The sequence below is a fragment of the Homo sapiens genome, chromosome 17 (assembly GCF_000001405.40).
Source record: "Homo sapiens chromosome 17, GRCh38.p14 Primary Assembly".
Lineage (NCBI taxonomy): Eukaryota > Metazoa > Chordata > Mammalia > Primates > Hominidae > Homo > Homo sapiens.
This window is the reverse complement of record NC_000017.11, coordinates 36,640,589-36,661,072: the sequence shown is the minus strand read 5'-3', so window position 1 is coordinate 36,661,072 and position 20,484 is coordinate 36,640,589. Positions and strand designations below refer to the sequence as shown.

At 52.7% G+C, this 20,484-nt stretch overlaps 1 long non-coding RNA gene across 2 annotated transcripts in view, besides 5 other annotated features; it reads right to left on the bottom strand.

The window, feature by feature from the left end:
- Nucleotides 1-3,179, bottom strand: part of LOC105371750 (uncharacterized) — a 115,553-nt gene extending 112,374 nt beyond the window's left edge. For both annotated transcript variants that reach the window (XR_007065730.1, XR_002958156.2), the window contains exon 1: nucleotides 3,086-3,179. This is a non-coding gene — a long non-coding RNA (uncharacterized LOC105371750). The remainder of the gene's footprint in view (nucleotides 1-3,085) is intronic.
- Nucleotides 3,054-3,590: an enhancer, noted in NCBI's record as "H3K27ac-H3K4me1 hESC enhancer chr17:35013913-35014450 (GRCh37/hg19 assembly coordinates)". NCBI's record gives its function as "activates a minimal SCP1, AML or CMV promoter by ChIP-STARR-seq in naive H9 embryonic stem cells {active_cell/tissue: H9 hESC(naive)}" and the evidence as "EXISTENCE:reporter gene assay evidence [ECO:0000049][PMID:30033119]".
- Nucleotides 4,973-5,682: an enhancer, noted in NCBI's record as "VISTA enhancer hs362". NCBI's record gives its function as "enhancer in: limb[3/5]" and the evidence as "EXISTENCE:transgenic organism evidence [ECO:0001131][PMID:17130149]".
- Nucleotides 6,672-7,169: an enhancer, noted in NCBI's record as "H3K4me1 hESC enhancer chr17:35010359-35010858 (GRCh37/hg19 assembly coordinates)". NCBI's record gives its function as "activates a minimal SCP1, AML or CMV promoter by ChIP-STARR-seq in primed H9 embryonic stem cells {active_cell/tissue: H9 hESC(primed)}" and the evidence as "EXISTENCE:reporter gene assay evidence [ECO:0000049][PMID:30033119]".
- Nucleotides 8,033-8,233: a silencer, noted in NCBI's record as "peak2825 fragment used in MPRA reporter construct". NCBI's record gives its function as "represses an SCP1 promoter by STARR-seq MPRAs in K562 erythroleukemia cells {active_cell/tissue: K562}" and the evidence as "EXISTENCE:reporter gene assay evidence [ECO:0000049][PMID:32103011]".
- Nucleotides 18,360-19,234: an enhancer, noted in NCBI's record as "H3K4me1 hESC enhancer chr17:34998295-34999169 (GRCh37/hg19 assembly coordinates)". NCBI's record gives its function as "activates a minimal SCP1, AML or CMV promoter by ChIP-STARR-seq in naive H9 embryonic stem cells {active_cell/tissue: H9 hESC(naive)}" and the evidence as "EXISTENCE:reporter gene assay evidence [ECO:0000049][PMID:30033119]".

The following is a 20,484-nucleotide window of genomic DNA, read 5'->3' as shown; positions in this document are numbered from 1 at the left end:
CAGGAGACAACAGGCCGGCCACCAACTGACTGTGACCTTGTGCAAGTCACTCCCCTTCTCTGTGCCTCCCTTTCCTTATCTATCAGAAGATGGGGTCAGAACAGCTGGAATCTGAGATCCCTGCCAAGTGTGGCACTGGGTGAACCAATGATTCTAAGAAAGGGGGCAGCAGACGGCTGAGGACCCAGAAAGAGGATATTCCCCCAGTCCTGTCACCACTGTGAAGACAGATGAAGGGAAAGAGGTTCGCATCCCACTTCTATCCATATGACAGTCCCAGCTCAGAAAGGGTGGGAGTGAGGAACCTGAAGCTCCCCACTCTGTGAAGGCTGGAGAGATCCCTGACCTAGGATCGGAGCCTGTCCTGGGAGGGGTTTCCTAGGACACCCTTCCCTGCTCTCTGCCGGGCCTTCATCACAGAATGAGACATCTCTGAAGTCACCCACTCCACCTCGATCATGTTCACATACACACATGTGCCGCTACAGGCATCTTTCCAAGATCAAGGGCCAAGATGGAGGCAGAAAGGCAGATTCCGAAGAAGCTGGGAGGGAGGTGTGCCCTGAGGCCCCCAGGTAAGGAGATGGGATCCCTGGCTCTCAGAGCCAAGCAAGGAGACAATGGGTTGAAAGGCAAGTTGGCCCCAGCCTGAAGCTCTACACACTAAAGGCCAAGAATAATGACAAGAGTTTCCATCTGCTGAAGACTTCCAGGTGCCTGGCCCTGTGCTGAGATTAAAAGGGTTGGAGCCCCCTCCCCAAACGCTGTGCCCTCCTGACCCAGGTGGGTGGAAGCGGGCCTGGGAGAGGCTCAGCTGATGGGAGCCTGCACCTCTGTTTATTCATCTGTCAAACAGGGTTAATAAAAGTTCCTACTGGATAAGATAGCTGTCAGCGTTAAGAGAAGGCTTAGCACAGTTGGGGCATATAGTAGGTATTCCATAAATGTCAGCTATGAGAAGTGAGGAACTCAGGCTTTCTGCACCACTCAGCCTGCTAGGCACCTGGGCCCTGTGGCCTGTTTGGCTCCCACGCAGGGGCCCTGTTCTGGGGAAAGGAGACTCTACATCTGCCTGCAACCCCTACTTAGTTTCTCTGGCCCAGCCAAGGTTTCTTCAGGTCATGAAGGATGACCTCTCTCCCGCCCCTGACAGCCTCCTCTGGTCTTCAGGCCATGAAGGATGACCTCTCTCCCGCCCCAGACACCCTCCTCTGGGACCCTCAGACCCCAGGAACCTTCAGGTCACTGCCCACAAAGTGACCCTCTTCCGTCTGCCTTTGACTCCTCTCTCTGCCCATGTTTGGGGGTAACATGGGGTGAGGGGCCCACAGAGCCCCTGAAATTAGAAGACCAGCTGAGAACTTAGACCTCCACTTACCTCACCCACCATCCCCTTCTCTAAGCAGGGTCCCGCCCCCACTCCTCAGGAGAATGGTCCCAGGAAAACCACATCGATGCGGTAAAGGCCAGTCTCCTTCACCATCCAACTCCAAGCAGGCTCCCCCAGGCCTCGGCAGACCCCTTTTCTCCCCCAGGGCACAGACAGTGGAATAGAGAGACAGTGGCTGCAGGAAGAAGAATCTCTTTAGGGTCAGTGGAACCAGGGTCCAATCCCAGCTACACCACCTCTCAGCAATGGGGTCTTAGGCCAGGGGGCTGACCTCAGTGTTCCTATCCATAAAATAGGGACAACGATACATACTTCATAGGGCTGCTGGCATGATTAGAGGTACGCCACCCACGTAGTAGGTTTCCAATAAAAAGCAGCCATTATGAATAACAATGACCAAAGATGCCCCAGTGGAGCCAGGGAACGATTTCCCTTCCATCTGCTGCAGGCCTCCGTGTAGACTGGCACTGGCTGGAGACTTCCATGGCCAGGACCTTGTGCCCTGAGCCCCTCCACCCTGCCTTGTTCTGCCACCCTGCTGGAGCCTGGAAAATGATGGGCTGGGGGCTATCGTGCCATGCTATGCCTCTGCGCAGGCAATGTTTGCGTGCCCTGGTATGGCTCTCTTTCTTTTTTCCTCTCTTCAGCAACACAGCGAAATGAATCGAACAATTCATCTCAGCATTCCACTCACATCTGCTTTACCTAGAACGGGAGGGGTCAAGGGGCTCAGCACCTGGCAGGAGGGGCAGGGCCTCAGGAAGGAAGCTTTGTCCCAAAGGAGAAAGGGTTCTCAAATCACATCCACATTTCTGGATTTTTTTTAATGTGAAGAGCATGTATTATTATTTTTTTGAGAACAGGGCCTCACTCTGTTGCCCAGGCTAGAATGCAGTAGCATGATCATGGCTCACTGCAGCCTCCACCTCCTGGGCTCAGGCGATCCTCCTGCCTCAGCCTCCCTAAGTGCTGGAATTACAGGCCTAAGCCACCATGCCTGGCCATTGTATTATTTTTATAACCAGGACTTCCACACACAACAGTAGTGAGGTCGGCCAGATGCCAACCTTTCCCACACCCACAAGCACCCCCCACCTCACCCCACTCCAAACCTCTTAGAGGCAATAGAGCACAGGAGGCTCAGGGGCCTGGGTCCCCAGCCTCCTCCACCCCTTCCAGCCGCGTGGCCTTCTGCAGGTCCCTCGAGCTCCCGGGCCTCGGCTCCTAATCTGCACCATGGGGATAAGGCAGGCCCCGCCTCAATGGACCCTGGTGAGGAGTAGAGGAGGTGACCTGGGGAAGCTCCCTGCGCGTGGACTAGCACCCCGGAGGTGCCGCCGCCCACCCTCTCCTGAGAGAAGGTGGCGCCCCCAAGTGCCAGAGGCTTTAAGCACTTGCTTCTCAGCTTCCCTCTGGAAGCAGCTTTGGGAGGAGGCCGGGGCGACGGGGAAGTGAGGGAAACAGCCCCCCAAATAGGAAGGGGTCGGGAAAGGCAGCTCTAGGGGTCTTGCTCACCCCGCAGCCCGGCGCAGCCCTCCTGTCCTGCACCGTGGGGGCGCCGCCCTCCCAGGCGGGCCTCGGAGCGGGTCAGAGAGGGGAAGCAAAACTCCCGCCCGCACCGGCCCGGGGCCTTGGGGGAAGGGCCAGGGCGGGCGCCTCCGGCTCACCTCCCGACGGTGAAATGTGGCCATTTACCTTCACGCTCCGGTGCCGGCACCTAAATCACTGTCTCCGCGGCCGCGCTCAAGGTTGCTCCCGAGCCGGCCGCCGCCGAGCAGCCGCGGGAACTCCGGCCGAGCCCCCACCCCGAGCCAGGCCGGCTCCGCAGGCCGCCCGCTGCGTCCTCCGCCCCGCGTCCCTTCCCTCCCCTCCCTTTCCTTCTTCTTCCTTCTTTCTCTTTTTTTGGCCCAAGGACTTAACTCAGGGAGTAAGGAGGCCACAGTCCCGGGCCCAGACTCACCGAGAGCCTCCAAGGCCCGCTTCTGTCGCAGACTGAGGTCGTTAGGACCGCCCCTGAGGGAAGAAGGCTCCGTGAGGCAACTTTGAACTTGGGTCCCTCTGCCCAGCTATGTGCCCCGAGAAAGCAGGACAAGAGTATTTCAATCCTGTGACTCCCGTATGACTGGTACGCAGAATGCATCGTGTGTGTGCGCGCGTGTGCGTGTGTGCATGCGTGTGTCCGTGTGTGTGTGCGTGTGCGCAGTGTGCGGCTGTGTGCGCACCTATGTGTGTGCGCGAGTGTGTGTGTGTGCCTGTGTGTGCGTGCGCCTATGTGTGTGCATGCATGTGTGTGCGCAAGTGTGTGTGTGTGTACCTGTGTGTGTGGAAAGTGCTACTTTGTAGAAGGTAAACACTCGTCTGCCCTTGTGACTTGTGACTTTGGCACCCTTTCATCAGGCCCTATGCTCATCCTTCAGCTCCTTCTGCCTTCCTGGTCTTTCTCCTTCCTCTCCCCCAGGGACCCCCACTTGTCACCTGTCCAGAGAGGAGGAAAGAGAGTCCCAAGGCCGCTGGAGGCTTCTGTGGAAAAGGGGGAGCCGGCTGGGGCTGTCAGCACCAAGAGGAGAAGGTCTCTACCTCTGCCCTGGCCAGGGTGTTTCCCTCCGCAGACTGGGAAAGGGGCAGCCCGGGGGAAGTTCAGAGACCACACATCTAGGAAGGGAGAGAGAGGCAACGAACAGGGAGGGACCCCCAGTCTGGCCCTGAGGCCCACGCAGGCCAGGGCTGATTCTCCCCTCGTGCTCTGAGCTCACTGTCTGCCCTGTGCACTTGCTCTGCCTGCCTGTCATTCATTTGCACCTTATTTCTGTTTTCCCTGTGTGGATCGGTGTCTCCCTCATCTGACTGAGGGTTCCTCCAGGACAGAAGTGACGTTTTCTTCATCAGACCAGAGACTCTCTAGAGCAAAGACATATCCCTCCCGTCAGAGTGGGTGCTCCCAAAGCAGGAGCTCTGTCCCCCATTTGCTGAGCTTCCCTTGGCAGAGGATCTGACTTCCCATCAGACTAGGGCTTCCCAGGTTAGAGGTTGGAGCTCCCTCAACAGACTGGGAACTCCCCTAGTGCAAGGCTTGTGTCTCTCCCAACAGACTGGGGACTCCCACAGGTCAAGGGCTGTGTCTCTCAAGGGCTGTGTCTCTCCCCTGCAGACCAGGAGCTGCCCCAGGACCCTGCTGACGGCATCTGACTTAATGTCCAAAGCTCCAGGGTCCTGCCCCACGCTCAGCCACTGTGGTTTAGGAGCTCTCGGGTCTGGGTGTAACCACAGCTTCATCATATCATAGCTCTGTGACCTTGAACAAGTTGCATGACCTCTGGGTTGAATGCTGCCACTACTCAGGGTCTTTGAGGCTCCAGTGAGACAGCATTTGGTGAAAAGGCCTAGCCCAGGGCCTGGCATATAGTAGGTGTTCAATAAATGCCTGTCTCATTCCCTTCCCCTCATTAGACAGAGAAGTATATTCCAAACCTGCTCTTCCAGCTTGGACCAAGGAGACAGAGGGGAACCAGAGTTGGAAAGGAGTGCCCACAAAACACACACACACACACACACACACACACACACACACACACACACACAAGCAACTGGGTAGTGGCCTCCTTCGCTAGGGGATAGGGCGGTGGCAAGGAGTTAAATGTATTAAGCAATTTACAATTAATATAGAAGTCATTCCAGAGATAGCTACTAGAAGGAGTACAACAGGGCAATTAACCCACTAATACACTAGGCTATTACATCGCTATGTCTCTTATTTTAGCCCGAGGTGATTTGAAACGCATTGGATTAGAGGATATTACAGGAGATAGCATGAAAAATAGCTTAATGTAATGAGCCATCCCGTGATGTCTGCTATTAAAGATGATTTGCAGTTGAAAACTACAACATACAGTAGTTCAGCTATTTGAGGACCGAGAGGGTGGGGGCTGGGGTGGTGCTGTTAACCCTTCCCTCCTTCCAGCTGCCCCCACCCCACCAGGCCCTCCACCACCTTCATGCCAAGATTATCAAGTGCATCTTATTAGGCGACAATAGCTTCGTTGGGAGATTGGAGATTGGGGCCTGAGGTTGATAAAGAACCAATAATCTGCTAATAACCTTTAAAAAATAGATTCCCCCAGGGAGCTGTACTAATGGGCTGAGGCTGGGGAGGGAGGCTGATTGGCAACTGGATGTGGAAATGGGTGTGGGATTAGGGTGGAGGGAGACTTCCCTTGATAAGGGGAAGTTCAATGTGACAGCCCCAATCCCAGCTCCCCTGAGTGAGCAGGCAGGCAGGTGTGTGCGTTATGGACTGCTTATTTAAGAGGTATGCCTAAGTATGTGTGTGAATAATTACAATACACAAAACTTTTTTTCTATTTAGCCAAGCTTCATATAGTGCATCACAACTTTCAAAAGGTATTTCAGGCCAGTTGCCATTACTCACACCTGTAATACCAGCACTTTGAGAGGCCAAGGCAGGAGGATCACATGAGCCCAGGAGTTTGAGACCAGCCTGAGCAATATAACAAGATCTCATCTCTGCAAATAAATAAATAAATAAATAAAACTAAAACATTAGCTGAGCATGGTGGCACATGCCTGTAGTCCCAGCTACTCAGGAGGCTGAGGTGGGAGAATTGCTTGAGCCTGGGAAGCGGAGGTTGCAATGACATTGCACCACTGAACTCCAGCCTGGGTGACAGAGTGAGACCCTGTCTCAAAAACAATAAAAATTTTAAAAAAGACTATTTCACATGCATTAGTTCTCTGAACTTTACAGGCATCCAGAGAGGTAGGTAGTATTATACCTTCATTGTACAAGAAGGCATATGAGCTCAGAGAAAGTAAGTAACTTACCTAAGTTCAATGCAGCCAGTTATACAATAAGACAGGAATCAAAGAGATGTTTTCTGATTTCAGAGCTTGTGCTCAATGATATGCAATTCCAGCCTATGACTATGTTCTACCCAAGAAATCTCTGCCTACCTCAAGATCCCAAAAGTCTTCCCCCATGTTTTCTTCCAGAAGTTGTATTGTTTTACATCTTGAGTTAATTTCTGTGTATGGTGAGAGGTGAGGTTTGGTGTTCATTATTTTTGGTTGGACTATGAATGCATTTGCACATCCATGTGTTTGGCTAGGTGTAGATGGAGTAGAGTACACACTTATGAGCTGGCTGCCACATAGAGACAGTGGCCTCTATGCAGAGGTCATCTGAGGCAGACACACGTAGAGTCACACTGAAGATGGTGGATACATCAGCACGGTGGGCTCGAGGAGTGGGTATTGTACACTGAGGTGTGAGTGCCTGGGGTGAGCGTGTGAGTGCATGCTTGTTTTGGTGAGTGACACGTTTGTCACATGTGTGTGCCGGTGTATGTCTATCACTGTACATGCATATTGGTATATGTGTGTGCAAGTGAATGTGTCCCTGCGCCTGTATCAGGCTATGTGTATGTTCACAGCTTTGGGTGTCACCCAGCATGTATGTTTGTGGTTAGCATTTGTGGGCATGTCACTGTTGCAGCTAAGTCTGTGTGTGCATGTCACTGTGTGTGTGTGTGTGTAGCTGTTGTCATGGATGGTACTGTGTGTCTGTGTCTGCATCTGTGTGTGTATGTCATCGTGCATGTCGCTGTGCCCGTGTGTTGCTGTGTGCCTGCGCCTCCCCTGGTGCGGCAGGGCCAGCCGGGAGCAGCCCCCGCGCCCCCCTCACCGCTGTCTTTTATCATCATTTGCAGCGATAGGGAGCCCAGGAGGATGGTGATAAATAAGGGCCACTTAAAATACGAGACGACCACTCTGACTTTGGGGAATATTTCTTCTGTGGAGCAGCTGGTGCCGCCTCTGTCCTTGTAGAAAGGGGTCCCAGGGGCCGCCAGCCCCTGCCCAGCTTCCTTGGGCTCCCTCTCCTCCTCCCACTCCCCCCTCCCCTGCCGCTCTCCTACCAGCTCTGGCTTGGAGGCCTTAGGAGGCCTGGGGAGGGAAGCAGAGGGGGCCCCACCTCAAGGCCAATGGGGCAGGGCAGGGCCCTCTTCAGGGTCTCCATGGAAGATTGAGTATCATGGTGAAAGAGCTATGGACCAGGAAGAGGCTGAGAGGAGACTGGAGGAGATAAGCCCTCAGCCCTGTGGGATTCCCTTCTAATTCCCTCTCCCTTCTAAGCTCTGGGGAAGGAATGGCTGGGGAGTGCCAGAGAGCCAAGACGCACAGAGAGACACACATAGACACACAACCCAGTCACACCATCTTGAGCACCTATGATGTGTCAATCCCTGAAAGAATGCCACGAGAACACCCATCCCATGTAGCAATAATAATGTACACACATACTAAGGCTGCTACACAAAGACATACAAAGGCATGCAAAGAGACTGGTGTGTAAGACTTGTCACAGTGAGTGCTGGGAACAGGAGGAGAAAGAAGGAAAAGGAATTGAAAAGGGAAGGGAGAAAAGGGGGAAATATACACATGTAGATGTGAGGGATACACAACAGCATCAGTATAGAATGGCCCCTCAGTGGGAGGAAGAAGAGGGAAAAGGGGTGGAGGACTGCCCTATATGGGTGTGCAGGTTGCTCACTGCACAAGGAGGAAAGCAAGGGCTAAATCCACCCTTTGCTCCACCAACTAACTCGTGCCCTGGTATGAGGCTTCCCCATCAGAAGGAAAGATGCCTTTAATTGTTCATAGAAAGCACCATCAACCAGCCACACCCTGTACCCACAGGGCAAGGTCCTTCCAGTAGGTGCCTAATTCTCACACAGGTGCCTTAAGAGCTAGCTAGGCCCTGGGGGCCGGTTGGGGGAGGCTCTTGAAGTCTGTCTGTAAGACATTATTTCCTTAAAAATAAAAAAAGAGGGCAGGGCATGGTGACTCATGCCTGCAATCTCAGCACTTTGGAAGGTGGAGGCAGGCGGATCACGAGGTCAGGAGTTAGAGACCAGTCTGGCCAACATGGTGAAACCCCATCTCTACTAAAAATACAAAAATTAGCTGGGCTAACCCCTGTAATCCTAGCTACCCAGGAGGCTGAGGCAGGAGAATTGCTTGAACCCAGAAGGTGGAGGATGCAGTGAGCTGAAATGGCACCACTACACTCCAGCCTGGGCGACAGAGCAAGACTCTGTCTCAGAAAATAAAATAAAATAAAATAAATAAAATAAAATAAAATAAAATAAAATAAAAAAATAAAATAAAATAAAATAAAATAAAATAAAATCATAAATAAGGCCCAGTGCAGTGGCTCATACCTGTAATCTCAGTACTTTGGGAGGTCAAAGTGGGAGGATCGCAGAAATTCAAGAGCAGCCTGGGTAATGTAGCAAAACACTGTCTCTACAAAAAATTTAAAAATTAGCCAGGCATGGTGGTATGCACCTGTAGTCCCAGCTACTCGGGAGGCTGAGGTGGGAGAATCACTTGAGCCCGGGAGATCAAGGCTGCAATAAGCCGACATCGTGCCACCACACTCCAGCCTGGGCAACAGAGCAAGACCCTGTCTCAAAAAAAAAAAGGGAAAAGAAACAGAGGAAAGGAAGTAGAAACTAAAACAGAAGAGAAGGAAGAAGAGAAAAAAGAGGGAGAGAAAAAAGAGAAAGGGAAAGGAGAGAAAGATTTGAAAGAGGAGGGAGAGGGAAATTAAACCATAGAAAGAACTTGTCACTGTCACTCTGCTAGTTGAGATGCCAGGACTAATCTGGGTCCCAGGGCAGGGGGTGGTGGGACAGGCGAATCAGGAATAACAGGTCTCTCTCCTTTCCTCCCTACTTTCCTCCTTCTCTCTCTCTCTCTCTCTCTCTCACACACACACACACACACACACACACACACACGCACCTCCTATGCCCATCCTGTCTCCATTCTCAGCCTATCCCAGGTGGCCAGGGACCTGTCACGTCTCATTTCCTTCTCCTAGAACCAGTGATGAGGAGCTGGGGGAGAGGTAGGTAGGGGGACCACCTGAGCTGACCTTTTCTCCTTCAATTTCCCTCCCAGGCTCCTTAGCCATCAGCCATGGGTGTGCTGACACCCTCATTTCCTGTGACCTCCCCAACACACACAATGTCATGTCCCCACTCATCCGGGCTTAGGGTCCTAGGACCAACCCATACCTTCTCCCATTGAGCTGCAAATCCCTGGGCACCTTCCCTGGCCCCATTCCTCCCAAACATTCTCCAAGCCCCTGGGACATTTTTCTGCCCCGCCCACCCTGTGGGAGAAGAAGGAGAGAAGAACTAACATTTTCTGAACACCAATTGTGCGCTAGGGACCCTGAGCCCTGGCTGTATCATTTGATGCTCACAAAAACCCTTTGAGGTGAGTTTTAACTCAGAATCTCCAATTGACAGAGGAGGAAAGTTCAGGCCATAGATGGGAAAGCCTCATGGCTCATAACTAAGGCTGCAGGAAAATAAACCCGGGCTCTTGACTACAGATCCTGCTCTTTCCACTACAGCATCAGACGCTTTTCTTGAAATCTCGCTCTATCCAATCTTCTCAATTTGGTTATCGAGGGCATACAGTGTGCCAGGCACTCTGCTAAGCACCATGCCACATTATCTCATTCAACCTCACACCCACCTATGGGGAAGATTCTATCATTACCCCCATTCCACAGATGGGACAGTTGTGGCTCAGGGAGGTTGAGCGACTTGCCCAAGGTTACACAGCCTTGGGAAAGCAGAGCCAAGACTCAAATAGGGTCTCCTGCCTCTTAACACACTGCCCAATGTGATGAGATAACACGGATTCCGCCGCTATCGCCTGCAGCCCGGAGCCGGCAACAAGACCGACAGTCCAGGCCTAAAGGAGTTGAAGGTGGGGTGCTTGGGCGCAGCAGACAAAGAGGGTCGAGAGCTGCACATTCTCAGTCTTCCCAGGAGCACTGACCCCATTGTCCCCACAAGTGCCCCCAGATTGTCAGAGCCAGGGCCTCATCTGGCCCTCAGAATATATGGCTGCAGAATAATATGACAGTTGGGGGAGGAAGGGTGGAGGCTGGAGTGGAGGGGCAAATGAAGAAGGCTCTGCACAGCCCCCAGAAGGAAACTTAATAGTCTAGGGGCTCCCTTGGGTCCTTCTCATTAAAAAAAAAAAATCTCTATTTAAATGCAAATTTGTGCTGGAGCTGCGATGGGTTGGCAGGAGGAGGCAGAGAAGCATCTAGACACTGATGACGTAGACCAGCCATTGGACCCCGCTCCCTGGCTTGCCTTGTAATCTGGGATTCTGCTCCTGGAAGTTAGCTTTATCCTCAAAGATCGCCCCCTCCCCACTCTCTGCAAAGCCCCCTCCAGCTTAACCCCTCGCTACCTGTCTCTGCCTGTGTGCATCTGTCTGTCTCTCACACACACACTCACTCTCTCTCCAGACTCTGTGTAGAAATGTGTTGTGGGGTGAGCTGGCAGCTGTAAGCCGCGGTAGCAGTTTCCCTCCTGTGTCTAGGAAGTGGGGGTGTCTGACATGACACCCCTCCTCCACATGCCCTCCTCCAAGGAAAGAACTGAAGTTAGAAGAGGGAGAAGAACCTGAAGTCGGGTACCTGGTTTTGACCTACCTCTCCCCAAACTAGAAAACCCGTGAGACACACACACACACACACACACACACACACACACACACGCACACAACCAAGTTTCAAACCAGACAATAGAAGACAAACTGGCCTTCAGGTTGGATTCTTGAGAGAAATCAGACTCCAAGCCAGGAAAAACTGCCACACATAATCCCCTCCTTCCCCTCCCCCAGCCCCCAGGTCAGACTTCCAATGTCACTGTGGGAAAAGCAGACTGGGATGCGGGGTTGACAGCTGAGACCCACACCTGCCCAGCGCCCACATTCTGTCCCAGCCCACCTCCCACAGTGGGGGAGATCCCTCTGTTCCTCTTCCTCAACAAATCCCTCGGCCTGAGCTCCCCTCTGCCCCTCAGTGCCCCCCACCACCTCTCCAAGCCCATTACCTCCAGGGATAATTATGTGGGTGATTCGCTGGCCCTGGAGAGCTCTTCAGTGGCATTAACTCGGGATGAGGGAGAGAAAGGAGGGTTGCCCCTGGTTACCACCCTTCTCCCCCTTCTTCCCAACCCCCACCATTGAGGGTGTTCATTTAGGGGGAGTGAAGAATGAGATGTTGTGAAAATCCATCTAGGACACAAATACAAACACCTGTCTCAAAACTTTCTACTTCCATTTCTGGCTTTGTCAGGGGAAACTGAGTCAGGAGCCTTGTCCTCGGGGACAGATGGTCTTGGGGTTAAGAATGCCAGCATTCTGGCTGGGTGCAGTGGCTCACGCCTGTAATCCCAGCAGTTTGGGAGGCCAGGGTGGGTGGATCTCTTGAGATCAGGAGTCCGAAACCAGCCTGGGCAACATGGTGAAACCCTGTCTCTACTAAAAATACAAAAATTAGCTGGGCCTGGTGGTGGGCACCTGTAATCCCAGCTACTCGGGAGGCTGAGGCAGGAGACTTGCTTGAACCCCGGAGGCGGAGGTTGCAGTGAGCTGAGATCTTCCTACTGCACTCCAGCCTGTGCAACAGAGTGAGATTCCATCTAAAAAAAAAAAGAATGCCAGCATTCCTACTGGCCCTGCCACCTCGGCAGCCACTCATCTCCTCCTTCCTGCTCCTCTCCTTCAGCCAGCCCCTTGGGCCTTTACTGATCTCATACCTTTATGGTTCCAGTTTGGCTGGGATGAGCCATCTTTGCCATTGCCTATGGAGATCTGCAGGGAGAGGGTGTCTGGGATTTGCAGGGGTTACCCAGAAGACTCCTTAAAGCTTTCCATGCAAACCCAAATTCCAGGCTTGCTGAGAAGAGGGCAGAGCCATGACCGGCTCACCGCTGCCTGCTTCCCATATTTGTGGCCTGAACTGCGATGGCCTCTGGACACTGCAGGACCTTAGCATTGTGAAGAAAGGCCTCTGGACCGAAAGTGGTTAGAGGAAGCGTGGGGACCTTGAGTGCCAGGAGACAAAGCAGGGGCTAGAGGTCAGGAAGAAGGAGAGATCCCCTTCGTGCCTCCTTCTAAGAAACCCTGAGTGAGAAGACCATAACCGCGAGAAGGGAAGGTAGAACTCAGAGAGACTTGAGGCCATCAGAGCTTCTACCACGAGAGAGACCCACAGCCTAGAGAGGGTGTGGAGTTGCCTCAGCTCACACAGATTAACACTGGGAGAAAGCTGGAACCTGGGCTCTTGACTCTGAAGCCATAGGCTGACTTCAATTGGAGGGAAAGAGTGGTATTTATACAAATATAAAATCAGTTTGTGGCTGGGCTCGGTAGCTCACGCCTGTAATCCCAGCACCTTGGGAGGCTGAGGGAAGATTTCTTGAGCCCAGGAGTTCAAGACCAGCCTGGGCAACATGGTGAACCCCCATCTCTACAAAAAATACAAAAATTAGCTAGTGCGGTGGCGTGCCCCTGCTACTCAGGGGGCTGAGGTGGGAGGATGGCTTGAGCCTGGGAGGTGGAGGTTGTGGTGAGCTGAGATCACGCCACTACACTCCAGCCTGGGCAACAGAGCAAGACTCTGTCTCAAAAAAAAAAAAAAATCAGCTTGCGACACCCCATGTGCAGCAGTGTGCCTACAGTGTGCACAAGTCTGCATGCATTTGTGCACACAAGTGAGGTAGTGTCTGCATGTGGTAGTTTGTCCACCTACAGGTTTGTGATGTCTGTGTGTGCAAGCACATCTGTGCACATGGGGGTGGGTCACACACATAGGCACGTGTGTGCCAAAGGGCAGGCACATGCTACTGCCTGTGGGGCTGGTTAAGGAGCAGAGGCCTCCCTGGCCACACCTGCAGGGGTGTCTGTGTTCAGAGCTGCCCTCACGAGGCAGCTGAGCCACGTGGGCCTGGGACTGACCCCACACCCTCAAACAAGCCCAGCCTCTGATGCTGAGCAGCTTCCTTCTGGAGGATCCTCCTGGAGGTGGCACTGCTGAGGCAGGAGGCAGGACCGCAGCCCCCTCCCCACCCCTTCCTTACAAGCTCCTGATGTGATGATAGAAACAATTAACTGGAAGAGACAGCTAATACCCAAGGGAAAACATTTCTACATATGATATTACAACCTTGCTTCAAAAATGGGACTTTACCATGAGGAAATACAGTTTATTATTAGACACATTTTCTTTAATTTAATTATATAAGCTTTGACTTAAAAAATAAAAAAGTATATGGAAAGGGGGAAGGGCTGAGATGTTTAAATCAATCCACTGCATTTCCCGTGCACTCACTGATCACCCGGGACAAATGGCTATACATGGGAGGGTCACTCGGGAAGTCCTGGGAACAGGTCAGTCCCAAACCTATCTTCCAGCCCCCCATAAAACGTGGTCACAGGAAAGGCGACTTCAGGAACCACCAGACAAGAGAACCTGGAGGGGTGACCACAGGCCAAGTTCACTGCCACCTTCAGGGGCAGCGGGGACCCAGGCCTGCATCAGGCAATCCATCTCATCCACCAAATCAGCCATGGCACCCTCACAGTGCTACACTCTGCCTGACATGCACACGTACACACACTCTTACACACACAACATCACACACACATTCACAGAAACTTACACCAGGGAGTAGCCACATAAGCCAGACAGATACCCAAAAGCCAGACCCCAACCCTGTAAATGGCCCCAGGAGAAGAAGGAAAATAAGGCTCGCTCAGTTGACCACCCATAGTCTGCTTGGCTTTGGGCAAATTGCTGACCTCCCCGGGGCTTCAGTTTCCCCATCTTTCAGGGAGGTGAGTGAGATGGTTTCTAAGACCCTTTCCAGCTTTAAACTCTTCTGCCTTAAATCACCATCCTCGCTACCTGCCTCCTTTCTCCTATTCTTCCTGAGGGGGTGAAAAAAGCAGGTTCTGGGGTCGGGGGAGCATGGACTTCAATCCCCACCTGCCCCTCCCTAAAGATGTGACCCAGGGCAAGTGGCCAAGTCTCTCCATGCTGCCATTTCCCCATCTGTAAAATGGGGAGAACAACCGTGCTATCCACCACACCCCCTGCCCATGGTAAGTGTGAAATTCATGGTTTCCATCATAGTTATAAGTCCCTAAGAGAGACTGTGAAAGGCCCATGCCTGCTTCTCAGGAATGAATCCCTGTGGGTAGAGACGTCCTCACATGCTGGCAGGAAGCAGACACATTAACAGATCCCCATGTCCTCCTCAACCCACTGCTCAGCTGTGCCCTCTTCCACCCTCTTCCCCAGGACCACTGACCCTATGGCCAACTGCAGTCCCCTCCACCATGTCCATCCCCCTCCCCAGGTCTATGGGCCAAGACTACCAGACATTAGGGGACACAGGGGTGGCCACGGAAACCCAGGTATCCGTGTCTGTGGCCCAGTGTGCCTGGTGCTGCCCAGATGGAGCGGCCCCAGGTGGCAGGGTAGCTACAGCAGCAGCAAATCTCCGCACTCAGGTACTAATGCAGTAAGTCCTATCAAGACACAGTGAAATGGGGCATAATTTTTGCGGAAAACAATGTGGGTGATGTATGCCCACGACTGGCACACAATAAAACTGTAGTAGAACGCAGAAAAAATGCACCCAGTCAATACAATAAAATCAGCACAAATACACTCGTGTAAGGCAAATAAATCTCCCAATCCAAATATTTTACAGCATGCGTACAAGGAGGAAGTGGAGAAGTATGTGTCTGCACCATTCAAGTTTTCCTCAGAAATCTCTAGGGGAAATAAACAAAACGACCAATGAGCCCCTCCTGACCCTCCAAATAAATAAATAAATAAATACCAAGGATCGGGGGCTGGTTTGCATTTCTGGCCTCAGATTTCTTTTGTCGAGGTGATTGGGGGCTGGAGGCCCCCAAATTACCATTCACCTAGCCTTGTTGTGGAAATTTTCAAGGGATTTGCAGTAATTATATGACAAAATGCTTGCAAATCTCACTCATTGCTGAACAGAAACAGGCGGGTCAGGGATTGAACACTTTCAGCTGGGTAATTTGTAAATGTCAATCAGGCAACGGGGCAGAGAGAGAGAGGGAGAGAGAGAAGAGGGGGGAGTGGAAGCCAGGAAAATACTGTAGCAACCTCAGTGCAAGAGGCCCCTTTATCCTCCCTTAACCCAGGAATGGAAAGGCCCAGGCCAGAGGCCAGGGAGGAGGGAGGAGAGAGTGGGAGGAGGGAGGGAGGAGGAGGACTAAGAGGAAAGATGGGGAGGAAGGGGGAGAAGGAGGAGGAAAGGGACGGAGCCCAAAGCAGACACAGAAAGGAGGGTAGGACCAGAGGGGAGGGGGCAAAGGTGGGGGGAAATGGAGGAGGAGGGGCTCTGGATGGAGAAGTGAAGAGAGTGAATCAGGAAAAACAGTTTAAATAAAACGAGAGGAGATTAAATTAACTGATACATACGTTCCAAGAGGTAGGTCGCAGCAACAGCAATAAATACCAGCTCCCTATCTCCCCTGCTCAAGACAGCGGAGAGAGCGAAATAAAATTAAAAGATATAACAATAAAAATTACAAATGCATCTTGAGGGTCCTGCACTCAAGGCCCATAATGGAGGCTCCGAGCAGAGTAAGCATGGGGCACAGCTCCCATTCAGGCTGGGGAGCCAGGCAAGGTAGGAGCCAGCAGGGACTGTTACATTTTCTGATGGGCTGGGCCAGTTGACTTGCAGAGAGCCCACTGCATGTACGTAAAGAATTTGATGGCTGATGCTTACCATTGTGACAACTGATTTGGCATTCGCTAATTAACAAGCTTTTTCCTGGTCATCATCACCCCTTGACAGAGATGGTTTTACTTCACCTATTTTATAGGTGAGGAAACTAAGACTTAAAAGAGGTCATGGTTTGGCGCAAGATGTCTCTCTAGTTCACAAGTAGAGCAAGGGTTCGAACCTAGGCCCCCTGACTCCACACCCTTTCCACCACTGCCTTCCTGCAGTCTCATCTGAGAGACTGAGTATACTTTCTGATCACATATACAACATACCATCACCACACCATGTGAGTAGTTAACCTGGCAGTTGTGAACACACGAAGACAGCATCCTCTAAGCAGGAGTGTCCAACTCTCCAGATTCCAAAGATCCTTTTTAGCATCCAAAAGTTACTCACTACCCCACCAGCCACATGCAGTCACCTGCACACTAGTGGTTGTACTTCTAACATCTGTTGATTGAGGAAATGCCTGATGACCCAAAGCTACAATAAATCCAGGAACACTTTTAAAGAATTTTAATTTACTCTTCACAATAGTCTTGGAAAAAATAAAAATAAAAACACAGACATCAACACGACAGGGCTTCTGTTGGTCTCCAAGTATAGTTAGGCAGACCTAGTGGTCGAAAGACCTCCATGCAAGAATTCCAGGGCCCCCTCCCGCATGAGGGTCTGCAGTGCAAGGGTCCAGGAACCTCTGATTGAGACTGATCCTTTAAGTAACAGGATCAGGGGGTTATGGATTTGTCAAGGTTGGCCCAGGAAGACTCCCTTAGAGAGGCAAACCCTGAGAAGGGCTGGCAAGGGGAGCAACAAGGCCTGTGTGGGACAAGGGCTAGGGGGGAGGGGGCAGGCTGGCCACAGCACTCCGGCCTCAAAGCCACCAAAGGCCCCAATTTATCCTTTTACCATAATCTCCAAATGGGGTCTGTTGACAGCCACAGGGATACCCCAACAGGGTTGAAAGAAGGTGTTTCTCCCATAGGTTTAAGCTGGAGTCTCTCAGCCCATGCTAGAGTGCATCATTCACTCATCAGAGCAGCAGCCAAGATGATGGGGCACCTCCTGCGTGCCAAGCACTGCTCTAGATGCGGGAGCTACAGCAGGGACCAAGACAGGGGATGAGTACACCTGCTGCCCTGGAACTTACCTTACATTCACCATCTTTTAAGCCTTGAAATGATCCTGTGAGTGGTACAACTATATGCATCGTCTATTGTTGAGTTAAAAGTGTTAACTTGTGGAATGCAAATCAGATGACACTTTTGCAACCCTGCCTGGTATCTCTTCATTTTTAAATGTATTAGAGTCTCAGAAATAAAAGAGGTCTACAAGCCCCTGGAAGGCTCTGAGCAGGGCAGGGGTTGGCACTTGATTAAAGTTGCCATCTATCAGTAATCACTACCATCCTGGATGCCAGAAAGCCTGAGGGCAGCAGAGACACTCGTGCCAGTGCCCCCACCATCCTCTCCACCCACAGCTGACCCACATCCCCTTCTGCCTTCTCCCACTCTGTCAACCAAGATCACAGCTCTGGAATTAAGAGCCCCTGCTCTGTTAATTTATCCTCTGGACTATTTGCTCTTCCCACCCACCTCCTTCCAACAAAAAAAGAATTCTGAGAGAGAGAAGTCATCAGGAAAATGTGCAAATAATCCGCTTAGCTGTGACTGTGGTCGCAGAGTACCACAGATGAGGTCACCACAGAGTACAGTAGCCTTGAGTCTCTCCACCCCAGCACTGCCACTTATTCTGCAAATGGTTTCATCTGTTTGTGCCTCTGCTGCCTCATCTGTAGAATGGTAAACACTAGTAGCTACTCTGGCAGGGCTGTTGTGAAGATTAAAGAACATAATTGTGTGTGTTCTATCAATATTAACTATTATGATGATGATACTCTTCCCTCTGAGACCATAACAGGACATTAAATTTGGAGGCAGGAAGGAAGCTGAGGGCAAAGCTAGAGTCTGCGGCCATTGCCTGGAGACAGCAGAGAGCAGTGGAGTGAAGCGGTCTGCCTGCCCCTGATTCTGGAGTGGCACCTCTCTGAGCCTAGGTCTTCCCATCTGTGGAGTGAGGAGGCTGGACTGGGACATCTGGAAGCGTTTCTGATTCTAGGAGTTAGTGTTGGAAAGAACCAGAGAGGAAGGGCAGCGAGGGAACTGGGGACAAGCCTAGATCAGACACAGTCTGTCACCAAAAGTGGGCCGCTGCCTGAGAAACAGCCAGGAATCTCTGAGGCAGGTTTCCCTGCAAATCCCACATCCCAGATGAGAAAACTAAGCCAAGATCACCCGAGAGACACCGTGCCTCCGCCTCCACCACCGCCGCCACCACTACCACAGCCACCAGCAGTCATTAAAACGCCCAGTAACTGAGGAGGGGCAGAGGGTGGAGAGAGTGGCACCCCGCCTGCTCCCCCTGCCATCCTGGAGTCGGGTATCTGCTCCCGTCATGAGCTCCACCCTCAGCTGAATTTAATGAATCTGAGAAAAATTATGAAGTCCCATAAAGCCACAAGTATCATAAAAAGTATAATAAAATTGAGAAAAGCTATTAAGTTATAAATACAACCAATGCATGCAACATCACTCAGTCGGGGAGGAAGTCGCTATAAAATAAAGTCATTCCACAAGTGACTAAATCTCTTAATTCACAAGGTACACGCTCCCCTTTCCGCTGTCACCCCAGGAGTTTGTGTCACGCGAAGTTTCCGCGGCGGAGAGCGCTGCGCGGGGAGACAAAGGGAAGGGACAGGGATCGCAGGGACAGGGACAGGAGCGGCTGCCGGGCTCTGGGTCCCCGATCGCCACCAGACATGTCTCCGAGCAGCCGAGGCAAAGGGAACGGATGGGAAAGGAAAACAGAGGAGCGGCCCAGAAGGGCGGCTCGCTGCGGTGGTGGGGCGCGGACTCGGGAACTCGGGGCGGGCAGGGCACGGGCGCACCCCCTCCTCTCCCCTCCCTCGCTCGAGGCCGGCAGCGCCCCCCGCCCCGCGCCATGCACACCCATTGTGGTGATGAGAGCTCGCGCCCCGTGCCCGTCACGGTCACTGTGCGTCCAATAAAAACAAACACTGCCGAGGAGCCGCCGCGATGCGGGGCGGACGCGCGGCCCGGAAAGGGGAGGGGGCCCTAGGAAGAGCTACACCCGCGAGCCGGGCCTGGGCCAGGGGCGAGGGGAGAGCGCCAAGACTGCCCCGCCGCCGAGGGCGCCGATGGAGGCACAGGGGTTCCCGTGGGGCGCCCCGAGAGACACCGTGCCTGGCCGGCGGGACGTGGGCTGGCTTCTCACCCGACGGAGAGAAGCGGCACTCTCATCTTCGGGCACCGGGTCTGGGCTCCGAGCGGGGGCTCCTGGAACACAAGGCAGTGGGGGCAGACGGGCCTGGGCCCACCCCAGGCTGGGAAGGGGTCTGAGCGGGGCGTCCTGACTGGACCCGGCCCTGGCGGACCGAAGGCTCCAAAAGATCTTGCATTCTCAAAGACTTCTGCAGATCGTCACCGCCTAAGGCGCCCCAGGCCCGGCTCCACTCATGGGAAGGGTAGGAAAGAAAGCTGGGAGCGCTCTGGGGCGCGGGGCAGAGACAGCGGTGTTGGAGGCGCGCTGTGGAGGCGGCGGGTTCCAGAGGGGAAGGCAGGCCGAGCCAAGGAGAAGAGCCAGGTGACAGGGCAGGATGTCGAAGTGGGAGGTAAAGTCCACCCAGCGACCTACTGGGAGCCCAAAATAACTTTAGTGGAAAATGGGGCAGACAGAGGTTAGGGAAGATACGCTTCCCTAACCTCTGCCTGCCTGGAATGAGAGCACCAGCCAGGGAAGCCCCCTCGCCCTCCGCCCCCCGCGCATCCCTGAGGGTCAGCATTCTCACAGCCTTCACCAGTCTGGAAAACTGAGTACCCAGAGCTTAAGGAACTGTCTCAAACTGGGTTTATCTGGGGAGCTGTTAATGGGATGGATTCCTACGGAGTCCAGAGCCCAGGGGAAGGAGCCTTTGCACAAGTGATTTGACTGACTGAGGTGGCGAGGCCAGGGTGGCTCTTCAGGAAGATGGGAATGACGCCGGGAAGCACCAGACCTGAGGTCAGAAGTTCAAGACCAGCCTGGTCAACCCTGGTGAAACCCTGTCTCTACTAAAAATGCAAAATTAGCCGGGCATGGTGTCGGGCCCCTGTAATCCCAGCTACTCAGGAGCCTGAGGTAGAACTGCTTGAACCCAGGAGATGGAGGTTGCAGTGAGCCAAGATCGTGCCACTGCAGTCCAGTCTGGGCGACAAAGCAAGACTGTCTCAAAAAAAAAAAAAAGAAAAGAAAAGAAAGAAAAATACAGATTTCTTATGTTCCTGCTAAGACTTGCACAGAATTTTCAGAGCAGCATTATTCATGATAGCCAAAAAGTGGGAGCAACCCCAAAGTCCACAA